At 40.5% G+C, this 22,437-nt stretch overlaps 1 protein-coding gene and 2 long non-coding RNA genes across 14 annotated transcripts in view, besides 2 other annotated features; 2 read left to right on the top strand and 1 right to left on the bottom strand.

Annotated features, from left to right (window-relative positions):
• KCNAB1 (potassium voltage-gated channel subfamily A regulatory beta subunit 1) overlaps positions 1-22,437 on the bottom strand; it is a 420,928-nt gene that overhangs the window by 77,236 nt on the left and 321,255 nt on the right. For 8 of the 11 annotated variants that reach the window (XM_017007171.3, NM_001308217.1, NM_172160.3 and 5 more), the window contains exons 3-5: positions 8,967-9,004; positions 4,371-4,450; positions 2,032-2,076 (exon numbers count right to left, since the gene is read on the bottom strand). In XM_017007171.3, coding sequence (XP_016862660.1) covers positions 2,032-2,076; positions 4,371-4,450; positions 8,967-9,004 — 163 coding nt within the window. Of the gene's footprint in view, positions 1-2,031; positions 2,077-4,370; positions 4,451-4,544; positions 4,636-5,782; positions 5,981-8,966; positions 9,005-22,437 lie in introns of those variants that run through there. The other 3 variants (XM_011513116.4, XM_011513117.4, XM_017007173.3) reach the window with 3 other exon arrangements.
• Positions 4,198-5,397: an enhancer, noted in NCBI's record as "CDK7 strongly-dependent group 2 enhancer chr3:156174295-156175494 (GRCh37/hg19 assembly coordinates)". NCBI's record gives its function as "activates an origin of replication core promoter dependent on BRD2, BRD4, P300/CBP, MED14 and CDK7 cofactors, with strong dependence on CDK7, by STARR-seq in HCT116 cells {active_cell/tissue: HCT116}" and the evidence as "EXISTENCE:reporter gene assay evidence [ECO:0000049][PMID:35650434]".
• Positions 4,486-5,097: an enhancer, noted in NCBI's record as "OCT4-NANOG hESC enhancer chr3:156174595-156175206 (GRCh37/hg19 assembly coordinates)". NCBI's record gives its function as "activates a minimal SCP1, AML or CMV promoter by ChIP-STARR-seq in naive H9 embryonic stem cells {active_cell/tissue: H9 hESC(naive)}" and the evidence as "EXISTENCE:reporter gene assay evidence [ECO:0000049][PMID:30033119]".
• On the top strand, positions 4,952-12,808 carry LOC124906298 (uncharacterized). 2 transcript variants are annotated; one of them, XR_007096139.1, is made up of 6 exons: positions 4,952-5,091; positions 6,835-6,900; positions 8,161-8,287; positions 10,384-10,457; positions 11,139-11,210; positions 12,053-12,808. It is a non-coding gene; the product is annotated as an uncharacterized LOC124906298 (long non-coding RNA). The 2 variants fall into 2 exon arrangements; XR_007096140.1 differs by lacking the exon at positions 6,835-6,900.
• Positions 14,967-20,746, top strand: KCNAB1-AS1 (KCNAB1 antisense RNA 1). Its single transcript, NR_046618.2, has 3 exons — positions 14,967-15,118; positions 15,807-15,869; positions 20,475-20,746. It is a non-coding gene; the product is annotated as a KCNAB1 antisense RNA 1 (long non-coding RNA).

Below are 22,437 nucleotides of genomic sequence, written 5' to 3'. Positions count from 1 at the left end.
ATATGGTTTATCTTTTCACCAGTCTCACGGGGGCAACTGTGAACTGATATAAACATTATGGAGTATAATAATAGCTTGAGTTTTTATTTGCAAGAATGAAAGGCAGTTTGTGGAAAATGCATGGTGATCTATTTTCTACAAAAGGTATATAAAATAGGTTCTGCAGCTATGGAGAGTGATAATTTAATGTTCTCTGGGTGTTAAGAAAGAAAAGAGCTACTGCACCGATACTTTCCCTCCTTCCTTAGATGTACTCCAGCAGCCTACGCCTTGTTGCAGACCTCACTGTACTATTAGTGGAATTATCTCCAAGGTTTCTGTTATAATTGAAGAAGTGTGTACCCCAAAAAGATATGTTAAAGTCCTAACCCACAGAACCTCAGAATGTGAGCTTATTTGGAAATAGGATCACTGCAGATATAATTAGTTAATAGGTAGAGGAGGCCCGTAATCCAATATGACTGGTGTCTTTATCAGAAGACACTTAGACACATGAGAGAAGAGTTAAAGTGCTGCAGCTGCAGGTCAAGGAATGCCCAGGATGGCTGGCAACCACTGGAAGCTAAGAGGAAGCAAGGAAGAACTTTACCCAGAATGTCAGAGGGAGCATGGCCCTGCCAACCCTGAAGTCAAACCTTGATTTTGGATTTCTGGCCTCCAGAAACATGCAAGAATAAATTTCTGTTATTTTAAGTTACCCAGTTTCTGGTCCTTTGTTGCAGCAACCATAGCGAATGGATACAGTCTCTATTTAGGCAGTGATGGGTAAACCAATACTCTGAGTGGGAAAGTAACTCAGGCAAGGTGAAGGACTGAGTGGGAACATGAATGTTTTTCCATATATAAGGTGGAATATAGTTTTCTATTAACATCCTTACAGTTCCCTGGGATGGGGGAGAGGGAGAAGGGAGAAGGAGAAAGTAGGTCATCAAAGTTTATTTGTTCATATCTCTATAAATATTTGGTTTTCTGTTTCCACAGGGCCCTCTATTCCTACCAAAAGTTTATCTCAGAGTGGGGAGTAAGCAGCCCTAAAAATACATGGGTCTGTTTCACCTTCTTAGTTTTGCTTCCTAGAGAGAGTTTAAATCATGTGTGCAAAAGCATAATAAAACCACTCTTGAACTCTTTGAGAATGTCCATTTTCTCTAGACTAAATTTTAGAAAATACATGCTAAGTGTTGAAGCATGAGTACACAGCTCTTTCCACAGTTGTCTTCACTAATATCATTACACTGTCATTTATTTGGTAATCAGCAGATATTATGCCAGGGCAGAGGAGGACCCCAAACTTGTTCAGTAACCTTTGCTGGGCTTTGCTTAATTCTGTACTCGTGCTGGGGAAGTAGTGGCTGTTGGGGCTGAAATCTATAGTGAAATGGGGAAGTATTACCTCCCCACTGCCCATAGATGTTATAGCTTCCCTTATTACCACTATCTTTGGCTACAGGAGGTGTTGGAAAGGGACGTGTAAGCACAGCCCCTCATGTTTCTCAAGGATAGCAGATGAAGCATTGTTCTGAATAGCCAGATAATAGGGTTCCTGGGCACACAGGAGAGATGCTGACTAAATGTGTTCAGATAAGAAAGCTTTGGGGTATTTATCCCAAAGTCTTCTTGTTTCATCATTCCTTTGCATCCAGAGTTAATAAAATAAACAGCAAACATAAATGCATGTGTGTGGGGGGATAATCAGCTTCTTGTCAAGTTACTTCCTGCAAGAGATTAGCACAAATGGCAGTCAGAAGCCATGAAATTGTCACTTTTTCATGCACAAATATTTCATGAACATCCCCCCCTTCTCTGCTCAACTCTTTGGTAATTCATTGTGATCAATGACTAGTCAGTAATTTTTGAAGCTCCAGAAGTGAACTTGCCGGCATTTATTTTCAAGCCACTATAAATCATTGCTTTAAAAACAGTTGATTTTTTTTGACAGCCTTTTGGTCAGGTGTCATATAATTTTATTTTTCCTTCTCTGGTGCAAAATAATACCTTTTTAAAAACAAATAATTATGGCGAATGCAATACCTCCAGCCTTTCTTCTTGATGATGCTCCCCAGAATCACTTCAGCCCTGGAAGGGGAAACAGATAATGTCTTAGAATGCAGTGTCCTGGAAAAGCAAGAGTCAATCCAGAACACAAGAACCATTCCTTGTTTGAACTCTCAGTGCCTACATATCCCGAAAATAGAAGCCGCTCTCGGCTGGTAGCACAGTTTCCGCTGTTTCTGCTTGTGCCTGCAAAATCCTGCTCCGGAGCATTCCAGAAGCACCTGCCAAATCCTGACACGCTGGCAGGAGACCGCCTGCAGTCCTGATACTAAGCAGCAGCAGTCATTTTGCAGTTTGGTGTTTTTGAACCAATGATCCCATATATAAATGTCCAGCTTGGTAGTGTCCAAAGGGAGTCAGTTTTCCTTCTAATTGCTGTGAAGCAATTCAATTGTGACTATGGAGAACAATGACACCTCACATTGTTTAGATAAAAAATATTTGCTCCCAGGTATAAACTGAGAACCGATGTGTGGGTTTAGATGTCCCACATAGAGAACACTCGCGTACAGAACATCTTAGGTTCCAGTGACAAACTTTGTCATAGGAGCAAAACAGAGGAAGACATAACGAAGTGTCCTTCCTGCCCCTAAGGCTGGGTTGCAGAGGCATACTGAAGGCATCCACCATCCTCTCCTCTTCCACCTACCCAGGCTGGGACCCAAGATTGAGGAGACAAATGTTCTATGTCCCTCCCAGTAAGACCAACATTGTCAGAAGCAGCTGGGGTCTCAGAGGCTTAGTGAATGGGAGATCAGTGGAATTAGCACCTTGTCCATTAGGATGCTATGGATGGGAGTCATGGCTAGTCATTATTGGTCTTAAGTGAGAGTTCTGTCTTTGTTAGAGTGTATAGCTTGCAATAAGCCATGATGCGGGTTAGCTGTGGAGCATGCCCCAAAGAGACAAGCATTGAGTCTTACATTGGTGTTGCTTTTGTTTTTCCCTATCTCTCCTTTACCTTTTGCAACCTTGCATTTCACAGTGGAAACCTATCTCAATTATAGACCGACAATCAATAATTAATCAGAGCGATTATCCTCACAGGAGTAATACAAACAGGACTCTAACAGACTTGCTACTTACTTCTCCCTTTTTCTACCTTAGTGCCATTTGGTACTAAGCAGGATTCCACAAGAAGAAAACAATGGAAAGGGGTAGAAGGCAGAAAGGAGCAAGACCATATAACCTTTACTTTCTCTCCTTGGATTCAACAGAAAGCATCAAGAATGTGAGCTCTGAACCTCCTTGATGGTCCTTAAACATAGACCTCTTCTTGAAAAGGAGGAAACTCATGCAAGGAAAATGCACTGGGACCATCCACTGATCATCCTGATTCAGCAAGTCCAGCAATTTGATTGTAATTCTAACCTGGAAGGAGGTGAATTAGGCCTGCAGGTGATTATACCTCACAGTTCAGTTAGAAAATTGCAGAGCTGTTCAAACAGCTGGGCAGCTATTTAGTTTCCTTGGTTCTGAGAGCTGGACATCCATGTTCCCAGTAGGAGGCCAGGGAGCCCCAGATCTATTCTGAAATGTGCTGGTTAGGCTGGGACTTGGATGGCCTGAACCTTGAGGCCTGGCCTGGCGCATTTCCTATGTGTTCTGGTTTAACAAGCCCTGTCTTAGGGCTCCAAATCTGCCTTGGGTTCAAAGGAAGGTTGCAGTTGGATGTGACTCCTTTCACAAAAGAAGCGAGGACTCTCTGCAGCCCTTCCTGTCCTCAGAATGGGCTCTGAGATCCCCTCTTACAAAAGATGATAGATTCTTTGGCATCTTGGGGGATCCTGACTTTGACGTCTAATCTTTCTGTAATGCTAGTGTAGGGACAGGCAGTTCAACAGTGAGAGCTCCTGTTTCCCTGCAAGGAGGATGTCCCAGTTCCTCAGGGGCTGAAAAACTATGAGATATGGTTATGAAATAAAAAGACTAACTTTTGAGCAACCATTTTGGAATCTGTTCATTCATTTGGTCACTCACGTATTCAACTAATACTTCTCAATCTCCTCTGCCACTACTCTGGCATCAGACTCCGCTGCCCCTCACATAGACATGGCAATTGCTTCCTGGTCATATACCCCTTCAGCCCATTCTTCATACAGGGTCCAGAAGCAGGAAGGTTTGGGTGAGCAGAGAGTGCCAGAGACAGTCAATATCCCCAATTCTAGTAATGGTGGTAGAGGGCAGAACAGAGCAGAGCTGCCAACACGTGGAGAAAGGACAGAACCTTTTCACCAACATGCTGGAAATGGTCTGGGCTGATTCTTTTGGTGCTACAGATGCCATTTGAGTGACACAAACAGGTACTGACTTACTTTCCAGCAGCATAGACTTCGGCAGTATCAAAGAGGTTAACACCACTTTCATAGGCGATGGTCATCAGCCGTTCAGCAACCTGCAAGGGGAGAGAAAGGTCACTCAGAAAAGCCAAATGCTTTCCAAACCTGGAAGCAACTTTGAGTCCTCTACCGGTCTTTAGGAACACTGACCTCTCACTAACCACTCCTTATTTTTCTTAGTTTTAGTGGAGAGGGAAAGAAAGAAGTCTCAGCCAGTATCCATAGGACAGAAGTATTCTTTCCTTCAGACATAGGGCACTGAGGGGTTACTTGAAGGCTGGGATTTAGCCTGCCCAAAGTGGATAGATTTGTGTTTCTCACTGGGCTGGGAAGAGCTGGTTTGACAACATTCTTTATGGCATCTTAATCTTTCTGACAAAGAGGGCCATTTGTATCACTGTGTGACTCCATTCCTCAACTCCTTTCTCCAAGCCAATAACTTTTGGCAGCTGGATGACTCCTGACCTGAAAGCTTGTGACTTTTTCCTTGAGGCTGAGACAGAGCTGTGACTGTTGTAAAACTCCTGCCACCCACAGCTCAGCAAAATCTCAGGCGCCATTGTAGAGCAGCCATTGAATCAACACAGAGAGGCGGCAGCGTGCCTCTGACTCACCAGGAACCCAGCTCCTCACTGTTCCGCCTGCAAACAGACCTCAAAGCTCCTTGTTCCTTGCTTTGTGCTGCTGAACGCAAGTGGTGAGTATGACAGAAGAGTACAGAATAGCTATACACAGCTTAAGGAATAGCCAGAGAGGGATAGCCATAAACAGCAGTGGAGAAGGGCCATTTTTTCATTTTGCCGATTGACTTACTAGTCATTTGAAAAATTACACACCTCACAAATAATTTTAATTGATTTTTCCATTATGTTTTGATGGCAGGCTAAAGTTGCTTCATCCGCATTTCCAAAATAAACTATTTTTCTGTTGCTTTAAAAATTAGCCTACCAAGAAAAATGTTAAGCTAGCAAAATGGAGTCCATCCAGATTCTTTAGCATAATAGTATGCTATTACTGCTTTTAATTTACTACCATTAAAACATTTATCTTATATTCCTACAATTTTTAAATTATATCCTAACTGGAGATTAAAAGTTAAGACAAGTTTTTCCTGTTATGACTGTCCTATGTTTTAAAAATTATTGTGCTTCTATTTTATATTAGCCTGTGTATGTCATATGACATACTGGTATATTATTGGATATGTACACAAATCTTATCTAGAGAGTTTTTTTAAGATAAGATGGAGAATTCTGGATGAAGATTTAAACTAAATGATGACAGAGATGTTTCCCAATCATTGAACTTGAAGGACTGAATGTGAAATAATGAAAAACATCACCAACTAAGTCTGAAGAGTGATTTCTGGCCTTGAGGGTCCTACTTACTAGAAAAATAAACGTAGGCAAATCATCTGACCTCTCTGTAAATTTAGCTTCCTGGTTTGCAAAATGGGGTTGATTTTGTTCTGGGATCTCCTCCTCCTGCATGAAGCCCAGAGGCCTCAGGCAAAGCTGACTTCACCTCCCTCTAGCGGGGGCCTGGGGGGCCTACGAGTGAGTTGCTCAGGAAGGGTCATGTGACACACCCTGGCCAATGAGATATGAGGAGAAGTTTGCCGGAGACTTCTAGGAACATTATTCTTTGTTCCTACTGAGTTTCTAGGAGCAACACCCTTTCCCCGGAGTCACTGTTCTAATTGAGGCCTAGGTTTCCGGCAGCTGCCTTTCTTAAGCAGTCGATACACAAAGACCCACACGGCCAGAGACTCGCTGGGAAGCAGACTGGGAGTCACAGACTGAGGCGGCCCTGAAGTTTGCTCTTCATCTACACTTCTAGTGTAAAAGTCATAATAATTTTTCTTTTATGGGTTAACCTGATTTGAGTTGGGTTTTTGTTACCTATAGTTAAAGGTACCTTAACTACCTTACAGATAAAAAAATGTAAATAAAACTCCGAAAATTAAGTGCTATAAGATGTTAATATGCTCTCATCATTATTTTAAGTAAATAATTATTCATATCAGTAACATCTATCTTTATTTTTTGATGAAGCCAAATCATCTTTGAGAGGCACCTTACAGAGTTTGGTGTTTGTATCCTTTTGATAATATCCCTGCCAAATGGTAATTCAATAAATGAACTCTCCCAGTGATGGGGACATCCCCACCTCCTGAGAAAGTGTTGACAGTCATGTAATTATCAACAATTAACTCAGCACACTGTGGTGTGGCCAGCCCTAGTATTCCATATTTGCATGTACTTTGTGTTGAGATTATTTGACGCCAGAGAGAAAGCAGGAAAATCGAGGTAGGTGAACTCACTGCTATTGGTCCGCATTTTTGCTACACGGAAAGCATTGAGCTCAAATAATTCTGTGATGGGTGAGGCTGAATCTGGCTGTGTCTCCCTTCTTCTCTTTGCTGGTATTCTCTCTTCAGGGACCCAGGGAAGGCCACAGATGCTCTCTGGAAGTACAATAGCTATTTTCCTGGTCTGCATCTGAGGTGAGTGCTTCAGCAGCCATTCATGACAGCTTTATCGTAGTTTTTAGACTTGAAATTTTGAAATTATTCATCTCAGAGGTCAGCCCTTCACACTACGACCCGGGCAAGCTTGGCTCATTGCAGCAGAGAGCAGACACTGTGAAGAGGAGAGTGAAGACTAGGGGGAAATAATGCACTTTACTTGGCCAATCTGCTCAGAAAGGGAAGATATTTCTGTCTTTTTCCCTTCCAAGCACCATCAGTAGTAGGTTATATATGTGCTGGATACAGTGGATTATTAACTGTAGGCCTCCCTCCCTGCTTGCCACCTATTTTGTATGGGACTTCAAGTCCATAGCCTGTGCTCTGGTTTCTGTGGCTTTCCCTTTGTGCCTCCTCCATACACCCCTTCCTGGTGCCAGTCAGACAGAGTCCTGTAGTAAACTCTGGGATGTGCCCTCAGGTTCTCCTTTGGAACCGAGGGACTTATTCCCTGAGCTGCTAGGAATGCTGCCATCAAATGGCCTTCCTCTGTCAGCCCTCTCTGGAAATTGCACTTGGCTAGAGAGAGTCACCTAGCCCGAGGTCAGACCTGCTTCCCGATCAGCCTCTGGTCCAATGACTGGTCAGTAAAAGGACATAAAGGCCCAGTCCTTTATGTTGTCCCAAACTGAGACAACTCTGCAGAACCATCTCAGCTTTGGAGATCCCCATGGAGTTGGCTGAGGTCATTGTTGAGGCTGCATCATGACCCAAGTTCTCTGTCTGCCCAGTGCTGCTTTCTTCCCTGCCCTGTGCTGATCCTGAGAACACTTCCTAATAACTGTCCTGCATGCTACTCTCTAGCTTAAAGTCTGCATCCCTGGGGAGCCCCCATGAGACAAGCCTTATAAGGTGACATGTGCCCAATACAGGGAACAGGCATTAGGATGGACAAGAATATACAGTTAAGACTTCTCTCTCAGATCTGCTAAATAACACTGGTGATTTGGGGAGCTGTGGAGAAAAGCCTCTGTTTCCCAACTGTCTCGTTAGGAATGATAGTAAGAACTACCTTTGTAAAGGGCTTATTCTGGGCCAGGTACCCCACTAAGCACTTTACAGGCATCATCTCATTAATCTTAACCACCATCCTGCTGATTAGAGGGTTAGAGCATTTTATTGATGTGGCCACCATTAGTACACATAAATGTTAGTAAACCAGGTCGGTCAATGGTAGAGTGGGACTGGATCCCACTCAGTGCACCCACTCAGAGACACTATCCCTGACTCTTCTTGCAGGTAGACACGGAAGGATCAGAGGGACTCAGGGCATTGCCCTCAGGGGAGTTCTTGGTGCTCAATGCCTGCATACCTCACTTATGCCATGAAGGTATTCCTTAAAGGAAATGATAAAAATATCACTTTGGTAAGTACTGTTTTGACTGTGCAAATGATGATCTAAAGGAATTTTATTGTAAATATAATTACCATAGCTGCCATTTATTGAGTGTCTGCTACCTACTAGTCAGAGGACTATATAAACATCTGATAAGCATGATGTGTTAATTCTTTCAACAGATCACCATCAAAGTTAGCATTAGCATCTCATTTTATATAGGATGGACTGAGGCTCAGAGAGGTTAGATTAAGTCGCCCAAGCCAGGTGACCAACTGTGCAGTTTTCCCAGGACTGAGAGGGTTTCTGCAATGTGGGCTTCCAATACTATAACTGAGAAACTTCTGTGTAAACTGAGACCAATTAGTCATCCTAATTGCAGCTAAAAGTAAACAAACAAATAAAGCAAAACAACATCACAGCAATACAATCTTTTCATAAAGTGACTAATGTTAATTCCAAATTGTTTCATTCTCTGACTGTTCAACCTGCATATATAATGTACAGCTTCAAGGGCTATTAATAGTCTAAATGTAAAAAATACAACAGGAAAAATAAAATCAACAATAATCTCTGAGTCAATTTTACCATTTCCTGTGAATTAAACCTTATCCCTGTAGAGTGTCAGGGTCCCAGGAAGAGGACTCCTGCAATACAGCTCTCTCTGCATTTTCTTTCATTAGCATAATAGAGGCCAAAGGTAACTTACCTCATCTGAAATTTGACCTCCAAATGTCACCCATGTTCCTAGAAAATAATAAATATTTGCATATTATTCATCATCATTTTTCTAATATTGTGCGTAATAAGGGAAATTCTTACTTTGGGACTACCTCAATAGGTTGTATGGGTAGTTCACAAAGGTACCTGGATGAGGGGCACATGTGGGCTGTGGTCTAGTTGGTCTAGTCTGTCTTCTTCTCACTAAGTATTCCAGAAGGGGTCTGTATCCCTCTGGAGAAAGGGCTGCTGTTTCTTTACTGAAAGCCACTGTACATACTATTGGAAGCCCTGTCCTAGAAGATGCTTTCCCTTCTGCTATTGGACCATGGATGCTAGTGTACAAGATCCATTCTTGCTCCCACTGAGCTAAGAAGCCACATGTTCTGAAAGTGAAGGTAAGACCTTGGGTTATGGTTATAGTTCTCCCCTTCTTTGCCTCCAAATAGTGGCTGTATTTTTTATTCATTATTACTTTTCAAAAGAAACCCTCTTAGAGGTCTTTCCAGTGCCCACTTACAAGACTCAGGAGGTGACACTTATGTGCCTTCTCTGTCATAACCTGCCATTCCAGAATGGAAATCTCCACTGGTTTGGGTGAGAGTGGAGACAGCAGCAGGAGTAAGGTTTGGGAAGGCAAGGGGAGAGATGCACACTCAGCAGCCAAAGACGTTTGAAACTTTGTAAAGTAGAAGGGAAGCTGAAGTGGAGTGGGCACTTGCTATGCTGGTCTCCAGGCACCTCATTTATTCATTCCATCCTTTATGGATAGATCCTCCTAAAAGGAGGATTTATTCCCTTCCTTTCCCTTCCTAAAGGAGGGAATGAATTCTTTTGATTCCTAATTACATGCCACATAAAAGCATTGCACTCACGTGTAAGGGACAGTGAGATGATTGGCCCAGTTCCTGTCTCGCAGGAGCTCACGGTTTATAAGACCATTTGACAAATGCTATGACTGAGGTGAACATAAGGCAGATAAAAGGGAGTGCTCTATTTAGATTGGAGGGTGGTGGCATTCTAGGAAGACTTCCTAGAAGAGGTGACAGCTAGGTCGAGTCTCACAGGGGTTAACTGAACGAAGAAGAAAGGGACAGACATTCTAGGGAGAGGCAAGAGCACCGGCCAGGAAAGGAGGTGGGAAACTCCAGAGAGTGCTGATGAGCAGGGGCCTACACCATCAGGCCGTGAGATGAAATGTGGGAGCACCAGGGAGGGACGGCAGGAGTGAGAGCAGTAGAGCCTGGGCACAAGTGATATTTGGGAGGCATACAAAGAAATGTGGTCGAAAATGCATATTTTGCATTTTGTAATAACAGTCCTAGCTACCATTTATGGAAGAACACTTTCCAAATGCCAGACAGTATACTAAGAAGCTTACCAGATCACTTTATGCTTACTTCCAGATGAGGAATCGAAAATTAACCAACTCGATAAGTGGAATACCCAGGATTCCCCAAACGGACTGGCTTCAAGAAGGGTATCCTTTTTACCACACCACACTGCCTTATTAGACCATTTCCAAATTAATTATGGCACTTAGAGTTCATATTCCATAGGAATACATTCATATAATTGTACCTTTTCTCTTACTTCTCAGGGACTAAAATAAAAGTAGGGTATAAATTGTTTTACTTTTATACTCTACGTATCCAGAGGTTGCAGATGGGCAGCCCACAGGGCGCCTTGTTTTGCTTGACTAGAATGCTGTTGATCCACTTGGTATTTTAATAAATTTTGAATAAGTTGCCAACATTTAAACAATTAGAAGATTTTTCTTGAAATGTTTTGATTTCCAGCTGCCTTTGACAGCAAAGAGCTGATGTCCTCACCAGGTAGACAGCCCCTAAATCAGAGGACTGTGCCCTCTCAGTTAATTAAAGCCTCCACATCTTCCTGTTGTATTCCCAGCACTGAAATCAAAGAGTAGTAGCTTTTTACCACCATGTGTTTACTGATATTTTTCTTAGTGTAAAAAGAAGAGGAAAATGAACTTGTGCATCTCCTAAAAAACAATTATTATAAGAAAAAAATAGGAGCATAACTTTTTTTTGGGGGGGGGTGGGTGGATGGGAAGTGTATCCAGACAAAGAATGTTTGCAAAGAAAAATTACATCTTAAGGCACCATTGAAAAAAAAATCAGCTTTGACTGCTACACAGAAAAGATGGGTGTTGGAAAATTTAATGGACTGAAGAAATGGCAGCATTTGTTTTTGAATGAGAATAAAATAAGTGAGTTGCTGTGAAATACAGTTCTTTATTAAGCGAAAAAATTGCCTGGGTATCAAAACCTTTTTACAGACAACACAGTTTATAAAAGAGTCTCTTTTGAATGCTGCAGAAATTATGTGTCCAGAGCCTCAACAGGCATTTGTAAATGTTAGTCTAATGAGCAACTTTGTAGCTTGGTATGTTAAAAATAAGATTGAGAACTTTCAGGACAAGTTAATTTATGGGTGGCATTTTCTCTTGCAGCAAATGAGAACACAGATATAGAGAATAGCACACTGTTAACTATATTTATTTGTGGTGTGGTGAGAATTTTGAAGGGGTCAAGGAACTTCAGAAACAGGAGCCCATGAAAGGCAAAACATCAGGAAATGGCTGACTCTGTGTTATGAAAAAGGTCTCAGACCATTTGGATGTAGAATGCATTGGTCAAAGTCACCAAGTGTTATAGATGGAGCTCTCAGGATGTGTGGAGTTAATGTCAGGCCGGTCAAGTAACAGCCCATAGGTGGCACTATTTTGTAGGTACACTATCCCCAAGTCCATTAATTTCCTCATTCATCAGAAATTGCTTTGGGCACAAAGCTAAAATGGGAGAAGCCATGGATTCAGTAATTAATACCACTAATTGGCTATTCTTCTATGTCTCTGAGCAAAATCAGGTCAACATTTGCTTAATGAATTTGCTGGCTTACTTGCACTGTGGTGCAGAAGAGATTTTTTTAACTGTTAATGTCATCACAGGGGATAGCCCTATCTCTGCTTAGCAGTGAAGATTAGCCCAAAGTCCTGAGCTTTTTGCTGACTCTACAACTTATCTATATTTTTTGACTATTTTTCTATAGGTACAGTCACAAGTATTGCACAAATGTTTCATTTGTGAGCTTCTCTCCGTCCAGATAAAGGTAACTTTTTGGGAAATTCATTTGTAAAGGAATAATTTCATCTACTTTCCTACATTGAGATCAGTTTCCAGAAATGAAGATACCATAAAATTTATTCTCTAAAACTATGCCATTGAAAACCAAATTCTAAAAATGTTCTCAGACTTCAAACTTTATGAAAATGAAATAACATTATTTAGCTTACCTTTCTTATTTTTTGATAGCACCTATGTTGGGCTATGATTAGACATTATCAAACTGTAATGCAAAAACGGTACTGAAGTCTATTTGAAGTCTAAGTAGAGCAATGCTGAAAGCCAGGATTGTACACACATTTTGGAAGAGGTGATTCTAGATATAAGAACCATTTACAGTAGTAATTCCATCCATGTTAGGAAGAGCCTATGTTTAGGCTCGACTCCAAAATTAATCTGAAAAAAACCAACCACCCTCCTGGCATAAGTGTTTAAGGCTGCATTCTGTACATCACAGTGAAAAATACAGGGCCTGAAACATGTTTTGGTACAGAAAAAAAGATGTGAGGTTTCTGATTCCAAGTCAAAGCAGTAATGAATTATGAAATAAAAATATAGCAATAATTGTTTTCCTTTTTCAATGTTTTTAAAATTTAATATAAAATAGCATATGAATATTATATATATTTACATTATTACATACCTATTCCATAATTTAATAAGAATAAAGTGTTTGCTTCCATTTCTTGGAGTTTGTCATTCTTATATTCAGCTTATTTTGTTCATGATGACTACCTCCCTGGCCCTTCGACACTTGCTACTCATTTGTTTTCTACCTACTTGTTTATAGAGTTTATATCTTTTACTAGAGAGTAAGCTGTCTGAGGGCTACACTTTTATTTCATTCGTCTTTGCATCTCCACAGCCCTAGAATAGAAGTGGGTTCTTAGTACATGGTCAGTAAGTGTTGGTTAAATTGAATTACATTGCCTTGTTGACTGTTATTAATCTTTAAAATTTTGGGATAATTTCCTACCAAACAAACATCTTTATTATGACTTATAGAAAAATGAATATTTCCTACCAAACAAACATCTTTATTATGACTTATAGAAAAATGAATAATGCTTATCAATAATCTTTAGTTCTTCTAGTCTCTAGATGATTGAAATGTTTCTCCCTATCCCTGGGTACCCACCCAGCTATGCCCCTTTGTGGAAAAAGGCCAAGGGAAAGTCTTTCTCCTTGGCTGAAATGCCTCCAGCAAGCAGATGGGTAAGTGGCCCAGTGTAGGTGGGGTCCACTTTCTACTCCTGAGGAGGAGTTGCCTCTCACAGACAGGACACATCCCCTCCTGCTGGAGAGGAACGGGGCAACAGCCTTCTAGACAGAAGAACTCTGTTTCTATGATTTTATTTTCCACTGTGCTCCACTCCAGAAGAACTAAGGTGACTTGTTAGTTAATATGATTCTCAAAAACCCTCTGTGACAGTTTTCTTAACCATTTTTCTCCCTCTAATGAGAACATGCTTTCCTGAGACCTAGAATGGCATACAATTATTTCACTGTGTAATCTCAAATTAGTGGGATGTTATTTACAAGATGATTTTACTAAACTGACAATTGTTATTTCTAACCTTTTAAAAGAAGGGAGAGTATAAAGATAACTCTTTGAACTATTTTGTGTCTTCTGATTAAACCCCTTTATGGACCAAGGAATATTTGCTTTGAAAACCTGTGTTAGGTTCCTTGGAGTAAATCTACCATAGCACAGAAAAATGATGGATGAAAGGTAAAAAGAAGAAAACTGCCCACCACACACATCTATCTTGGTTACCTCATTATCGTTTGGTGATTATCAGGGTAATTACTTCTTGCGTACTCATTCAAAAAACATGTTTACCATTTAAATGACTGCCTTGCTTGGAGTATAAAGGATATTTAGACATTTAGATGAGATCATTTTAATATCTTACATCACCATAGTGCAATTATCAAAACCAGGGAATTAACATGGGTACAGTACTAATACAATAGATCTTTTTGGAATTTCATTGTCTTTTTTTCTCTTCCAGGATCTTAAGCAGCATCCAACATTGCATTTAATTGTATGTTTTCTTAATCCACTCCAATATGTGACACTTCCTCAGTCTTTCCCTGTCTTTCATGATGTAGACACTTTTAAAAGTACTCATCAAGTATTCTGTAGAATGTCCCTTAATTTGGGTCTAAATCATCTTAAGGTTATAAAATTCTATAGTGCAGGTTGGTCTCCCTATGGTTTGAATATATTATTATAGCTATCAAGAAGAGAATATGTAAATGCAATTATAATATTAATATTTATTATGCCACAGTTAACATTTCCTCACTTTTTCATTCAACAAGTATTTATTGAGTCTACCGTGTGCCAGGTGTTGTACTTAGTTTATTGGGATGCAACAGTGAACAAAACTGGTAATTATTTCTCCCATCGTGAAACAGATATATGGGTAAAGAAAAAGGAATAACAAAAATAAGTTAAATATATAGTGTTTATAAATGTTAATTTTACAAATAAATAAAATGTAAAATAAAATACATAATGTTGACTGATGAATGTTAGAGAATCAATTTTATAAAGCAGGGATAGAGTATATGAAATGTCTAGGAATCAGTATTGAAATTTTAGATAGGGTGGCCAGATAAGATTCACTAAGAAAGGAGCTTTCAAGAAAAGACCTAAAGAAAGTGAAGGGGCTCACCAGGCGCTTATCTGGAGGGAGAGTGTTCCAGTTGCAGGGAGCAGTGAGGTAGGGGCTTGCTCAACATGAGCAAGGACAAGGAGGAAGCCAGTGTGGCCAGAGAAGAGAAGGTGAGGTTCATGGGGGCCAGATCATGTCATGTCAATCATAGGAAGGACCTAGGAAAGGCTAGTGAATAATTTTGAATACAGAAGTGACACAATCTGACTTTCTTTTAAAAGGAACACTCTGCTATTGTGCTAAGGATAGACTGCAGAGGCGAGGCTGAAACATGGGGGACCAGTTAGGAGGCTGTTCCCATAATCCAGGTGAGACATGACAGTGGTTTGGTCCAAGGTGGTGGTAGTGAGGATGGCGAGGAGTGGTTGAATTTTGGATAAATTTTGAAGGGGAAGCAATAGTATTTACTGGTGTAAAAGGATGTGTAGGGTGTGAGAGAAGGTGAAACCTCTAGGAGAACACCAAGGTCAGAGTATGGGGAGAATGGAGAGCCAATTCAACACATTTCAATATAGATTTAATGATTTTAAGTTTGGTAAACAGAGCACATGTGAACTGCAGCTTAATATAGTCAAGACTGACCAAATGTAGTCATAATTGAGAGACATTTCATCTATTTTGAGGTGTTAATCTGTTACGTCACTAAAGAATTTAAGATAAGAGGTTCAAACCCTAGGTCACATTGAAATTAAGCAATACACCAGGTAAAATTAACATGTTCAATGTCTCAGTTGTATAGTATAACCCCCAAAGAGGAGTGGAACTGGAGGTGGGAGCATCCCTCTAAATTGCGTATCCAGCAAGAAATAGGTGTAAGCCCAAAACTAGAGTTGATGTGGAGGAGGGAGCCCTAAGCTGTTGGCCACCACCTGAGATCCTTAAGCTCCAGGTCATTACCCTGGTGAGCATGTTCTCCTTTGAGCTATGGGCTGAGCCTTCCACTGAAAATCTAAACCTTCCCCATGCCTTTATGTCCAAATTCTACTTATTTTTCAGGACCCAGAACTCCAGCTTCAGAGTCCAGTGCTGCTAAGCCATAGTTTCTTAGCACTTCCCCTGGTGAGTTAAAGTATGTCTTGCTACATCATTAGAATTTTTTAGGTTCTCTTGCATTAACTCTGTGACTCTGAGAAACCTCCAATCTCTTGATTTCTTGTTTCCTTATGCACAAAATTAGGAACCTTGAGCTTCCTTCATCTCTATTATTTCATGATTCTATGGTTTCTTTGAAAGGAGAAGAAGTCATTCCATTTACTCTTCTCCTACCATTTTGAACTAACTGCTATTACCATATTGACCACACTATATTGTAACCGCATAGTTTATTTTTGGCTGTGACTTCCTCATTAGACTGCAACTATCCTGAGATCAGGGACTAAGTTTAAGTTTAATTTAAATTTTAAATTTTAGCCATTGCACTGGAGCCTGGCACAGGGTAAGTGAGTAATAATTGCTTGTTCAATCAGTAAGCATTCTCACCCTTACTAAGAAAGTGTCTCTAACCAGAGAGCATTTGTGGAACGTTGGTTGTTTTCCTCACTATCTTCAACAAGAGGTTTTTAACCACAACTGCGCATTTGAATATCCTGGGGGGATATAAATGGTATTGCTGACCTGATTCCTCACCACACCCCAGTGAAATCAGAATTTCTGGGAGTGGAATCCTGGCATCAGTATTTTTAAAAGATCCTCAGATAACTCTAATTGCAGTCAGGGTTGAGAACCACAGTTTATATTCTTCTCATACCGGTAGCATCTCATCCTTTTCCTTTGTGCTTTGTTTTGGTTTTTGTTTCAGAGACAGAGTCTCGCTCTGTCACCCAGGCCTGAGTGCAGTGGCACAATCTGGGCTCACTGCAACTTCCGCCTCCCAGGTTCAAGCAATTCTCCTGCTTTAGCCTCCTGAGTAGCTGGGATTACAGGCGCGTGCCACCGTGCCCGGCCAATTTTTGTATTTTTATTAGAGACAAGGTTTCACCATGTTGGCCATGTTGGTCTTGAACTACTGACCCTGTGATCCGCCCACCGCAGCCTCCCAAAGTGGTGGTATTACAGGCGTGAGCCACAGCATCCAGCCCATCCTTTTCTTTACACCCTGACTTGCCTTTCTTCTTCTTTTACTCAATTGCTGCCATCTCTATTTTCCAGAGGTTAAATGACATGCCCAAAGTTTAAATAACTAGTAAGTGGTGGAGTAAAAGCTGGGATTTAAATCCAGCAGACATGCTCCTGCACCCTGGCAATCACGGGATGGTGTAGAGAGGGCACTGTTATTTCAATAAGAGAGGGAAGCTACATAGTTACCTTAACCTTCTTTATTTCATGCAGAATCAAAACAAAACAAACAGAACCAAATTCTTAGAAATCTGGCCTGAGGGGAAGGCCCATGATGGCGCTGGGATGTAAAGACAGGTAATGGAGGTGAGGAATTGGCTTCTTGCCCTTGGCACTCTCTACCAATTGAAGGGCATGGAATGAAGATACCCTCTTGCTGGTGAGGCCTAGAATAAAAGGCTAAGTAAGTAAGGGGACATCAGGAGGCCTGGGCTGGAGTTCTGACTCCACCACTCACTAGCAAGATGGGATGGTAATGGTAATAATCATAACTAGTTCACAGGATTTTTGGGAGAATGCAGTGAAATTTCCTAAGTGCTTACCAGCCTCCATCATAGCTCAAGCATTAATTCTCCCAATCTCAGATCAATAGGTCTTACTCTTCAGGGTGCATTAGAATCCCCCAGGACCCCCACACAGATTCTTATTCTGCAGATATGAGCTGCAGCTGGGGCATCTGTATGTTTATCAAGCATCCCATGTGATTTGGAGGCAAAACAATGCTCTGAGCAACCCTACTGTGGCCACTAAGATAAACTACATGAAGACCTATGTCTGGGTGCTTGGACGTGTTCTTTTTCAAATGACGCACACAAAGCATTCTTCCTTGTTCTGGCTCGCATCTGTCAGTATTTTCCACAGAGCCTGGCCCTTATTTTTGGATCCAAGCTGCAGCCTGGTCTTTCATTTTTGGCTTCTAGCCTGTTGCTAATGAGCATCTGGCCAGAGTTGACAAATGTGATAGCAACTTAGCCTTTTCTTTTTTACTTTCATTACCTTTTCTTTCAAGTACCAGTAATGCCACCCAGGTCCTCAAGGGGGCTGAGGGGTGGGATGCTTTCACACCTGCCTTTTACAAAAGAGCTTGAAATAGCAATAAAAGTAGGTAAGGAAGTGGTAAAGGCCAGGAGAAATAAAGGTGGGCCTCCTCAGGCAGGTGAAGTGCAAGCAGCATCTCCATTTACAAGTAAAGAATAGTGTGTGTGTGTGTGTGTGTGTGTGTGTGTGTGTGTGTGTGTAAGGACTAAATATTACTTAGAACCCTCTCCACTATTTAAAGTTTCTGTGTCAGCACTTAATAAAATAGGAAACTATGGCCAAATGAGAAAGACATCCTCAGCCTCCACCATGTAGATCCATTGTGCTTTCCTAGCTCCTTCGGTGCTAGGTGCTTTACATACATCAGCTCTAATCCCTATCACAACTACAGGGTCTGAAAGATTCCATCTATTTTCCTCACCTGAGGAAATGATAAGAAAGTGACAGTGAGTGGTAAGAAGTGACTTGCCACAGCTGCTTAGTGGACACTCCACAGCCCCATGCTGATTCCTGGTGATGATGCTCCTTTACCTCCCCACAGCCCCTATGCTCTATTCCAGCCAAATGGTATGGCCCAGGTTTGCTCTAAATGCTTGTAACAACATCCTGCTTTACAATCTGCCCATGTTCTTCCCTCTGCTGAATGCCTTCCCCACTAACCTTCCTTCCTTATGATAAGCTTCGTGTTCCCATTGTTTAGCGGAACAACACACACTGGGGCCTGTTGAGGGGGCGGCGGTGAGAGGGAGAGTATCAGGATAAATAGCTAATGCATGTGGTGCTTAATACCTAAGTGATGAGTTGATAGATGCAGCAAACCACCATGGCTCACGTTTACCTATGTAACAAACCTGCACATCTTGCACATGTATCCCGGAACTAAAAATGAAATTTTTTAAAAAAGCTTTGCACCTATCTCTGCCCCCAAACTGGCTGTCTAGATGAAGAACTCCATATGTTTGCCTTCACTCTCCTCGGCCACCTCCCTGCTCTCAAATTCTCTCAGTCCCACCTGAGATCAGGATTTATCTCAGGTTTTTTGTCATCTGAGGAGCAGTGTCTCCAACCTCATGCACAGAGCCATCCTTGACTTTTAGCCCTCAAACCCTTTTAAGAATTCTGGATCAGGGCAGAGAGCTGGGCAACAATGAGATGTGATTGCTGTTGAAGGGATCCTAGGGCAGGCTGTCTGCAGCTGGGAGGGCAGAGGCAGAGGGTAGCCCAGTCTTTCATTAGGAAAGGCTGGGATGGGGATGGCTGGCTGAGCCTCCCAGAAAAACCTGTGGGGAGTTGGAGGCTGACCTTCTAATGCCTGTGCATAGCTTGAGGTTTTGAGGGTTAAACATCTGGGATTGATTAAAGTTCCTCATGATGCTTATAGAGATGTACAGGTATTTGATATTTTCTTTCTTTCTTAGATTTAAGGTTTATGTATTTCAGTGCCAAGGAATACTGTTAGCTCCATTTTGTTTTAAGATTTGTTTCAGGGCAAATCTGTCTGGAACCATTTTGTTCTGTTTCTCCATTAATCTGATTGGTACAGTTTAAAGACAAGGGAATGACATTGGAAATAGGATGAACGGTGGGGATGTGAAGTTTAGAAGAGGCAGTTTTGTGTTATAAAGCAGACTGCAAGGATTGACATTGCTCTCTAGAGGCTGTGTGGGCAAAACAGGAATGAAATTTCAGTGCACTAAATCTACCCCTAGAAACAATGACCTACTCTCCATACTTGGATCTTAGAATTCATGATATGTAGTAACTTAAATTAATGGCTTAATTTCCTTAAATTTCCTGATGTAGGCATGACACTCCCAAACTGATTAAGTTAGCATCTTGAGCCTGATAGGGAAATTTAAAATAAAATAAAGCCAAAAAGTCTTTAGATACATGTTTTCTTCTCTGCGTGTTTTAGTTTTTTGGCCCACATTATTGAAATAAATATTATTACTTTTATAATCAGAAGCAAAATTTATTTAAAAAATATTCTTGTTACTAGAAGATCCATTCATGAGCAAGAGTTTCTACAAGTCACAGCCCTTCCTACATTTTAAAGATGAAAAGGAGGCAGTGTTTACATTTTCTTAATATTTTGTCCTAAATGTCTTGGTCAAAATTCCTCATATTTTCTCCTGCTGACATTTAAATGTTTAAAATTATTTCTTACAATAAAGTTTCCAGGGCCTTTAAAACAATCTGCATTGTTATGCCCTAGTAATTTTGCTTTTTGAAGAACTCCTGTAGTAAATGTATCCAGTAGTTAATGTAGATAAAAAACACAGTGTTAGAATAAAATTAGACACCTTCCATGTGACACTAGGACTAAATGGCAATTTCTGATTTTTAAAACAAATTTAAATATTTTCAATATCTTCTTCTAAAATAGGAACTATTATTAAGATTGAAAATTCTTTTTTTTCCCCGCGAATTATTTTCATAGTGTCTGGAATATAGTATGTGTTCAAATATACATTTTTATTTCTTTTTTATTTATCTTTTGGTTTTCCACAGTAAGTTACTATGAAAAGAAGTCTGGAAAAATGCTACCGTCAAGAAGTTTGAAAGTCAATGTGTCCTCTTTTATGCTTTCTTTTGTCTGTGAAAAGCTAATGTCAAATCTTTACCTTTGTGCAGGGATATATTTTTTGATGGTTCAGTGAATTGTTCTCTCCCAAACAGTAATAATTTTGAGTAACTCTTGTTCTATCTGTACATAAAAAACACAGTGTGTGCTTATAGAGCTGTCAGAATCTGCGAGGAAATAAATTTTAATTCCATGGCAAGGCAAATAAACTCTCTTAGTGAAAACAAGATAATACGTTGTAAAAAAAGAAGGAAAAATATATTGCAACAGTCCTTTCAAATTCTTCCTCTTGAGGTATATATGAACTTCATGATATTTAGAGTATTGAATATCATTAATAAAAACTCAAAGAGGAATATAAAATGATTCATGTACTTTTTGACTAAGAATTTTTTAAAATACAGAAAAATTAAAACTGAGAGAATATATAAGGGATAATTTAACAAAAACCCAAAGATTTAAAAAGTTCCCAACCATATTACACTCAAATTTACCCAGTTTTCATGTTTCCCTGTAGATTTACAGATTTACATATAAGGATTAGCTTATTTCATCTGTGTCTGATAGATACCAACTGTTAATGATTTCGGCTTAAAAAAATCTGTAATGTCCTTTTCCTAAAGAAAATTTATAGCTGTATCAAGTGGACAGGATATTTTTGCATCACCCATAGGACTATGCATAGATTCTCTTTTTATGCACTGACTCTTAGTCTATTTCTAAGTCTATTTCTTCCCTTTGCAGTAATTATATGCAATTTAACATGTTAAAGAAGAAAATGGAGCAATAGTAAATCATAAAACAATGTTGGTACATCTTCAATCTTGGGAGATTGCACTTAGTCCAAATTCTACAGAGTCATTCTCCTTTGAAATGATAGACTATAAATTAATTATGGTTCAGGAGAAGCAAAGAACAGCTCCTGGCAGCCTGGCCTGAAGACAAGTTTCCATTGTAAGAATGCTGGTATTCCCAGCCATGCTTTGGCATAGAGGTGATGATGTTATAACCATAGTCCCAATTGTACAGGAATGAAGTGACATTTCCTAACAAGCTGTATGCAAAGTTATCCAGAAATTTAGGTAACTAGAGACATCAAAAAATATAAATATTTTTATCTCAACAGTATTTTGAATTGTTCTCAAATACACAAGGCAAGCCTTCTTGAGACAGTTTCGAGATTAACAACATCTCAGGATGAACTCTGTATCCCCAGAGACTATACAAAACCTGGCATAGAGGATGTGCTTATGAAATGTTATATGAATGATTGAATTCAAGAACCAGCAGAGGAGAAGTGATGAGCAGAGAAGTAATGTCCAATGTATTCATGTATTGCCTGCAGTTGCTTTTTTCTTAATTAATTCATTGCTTGGAAATAAGTTAATCTAAATGAATCCATTCCTGGCCTTTATGTAAGTTTGTGGTCTGGGTACTCACCAGCCACCACACCTGAATACACAATGGGAGAACATTTTGGAGGGTGGCTGGGAGGTCAGCATCGATCCAGGGAGTTATGATGGTAGAATAAAGCTTGCATTTGCCATCTTAAAGCACTGATGGCGTCCATTTCTCTTCCTGCTGGCACCAGGGGCCCTGGCTGTGGGAAACGAGGGAAATGTTCCCAGAGGGCACTCCTGGAGAGCAAAGATCTCGTCTGGTGATGCTCCATTTTTCATTATTTTGTGATTGGCCCAAACCTCAGGACTGCTTACGATAAGAGAGTAGAACTTTCTGTTAACTCGGAAAGAGTATACATCTGTGGTGAAGACTGTGCCATCAAAAGGCCTGTGTGCACACTTCGTGATAGTGTCAAAGTGAGATGGAGATTTTAAGGTCCGCTTGGCAAGGACAGGGCTGTCTGTCTTGTTCATCACTGTCTCTCCAATA

The sequence above is a fragment of the Homo sapiens genome, chromosome 3, assembly GCF_000001405.40.
Source record: "Homo sapiens chromosome 3, GRCh38.p14 Primary Assembly".
NCBI classification, from domain to species: Eukaryota; Metazoa; Chordata; class Mammalia; order Primates; family Hominidae; genus Homo; species Homo sapiens.
Note: the sequence above shows the minus strand (reverse complement) of the source record. Positions and strands in the feature narration are given on the sequence as shown.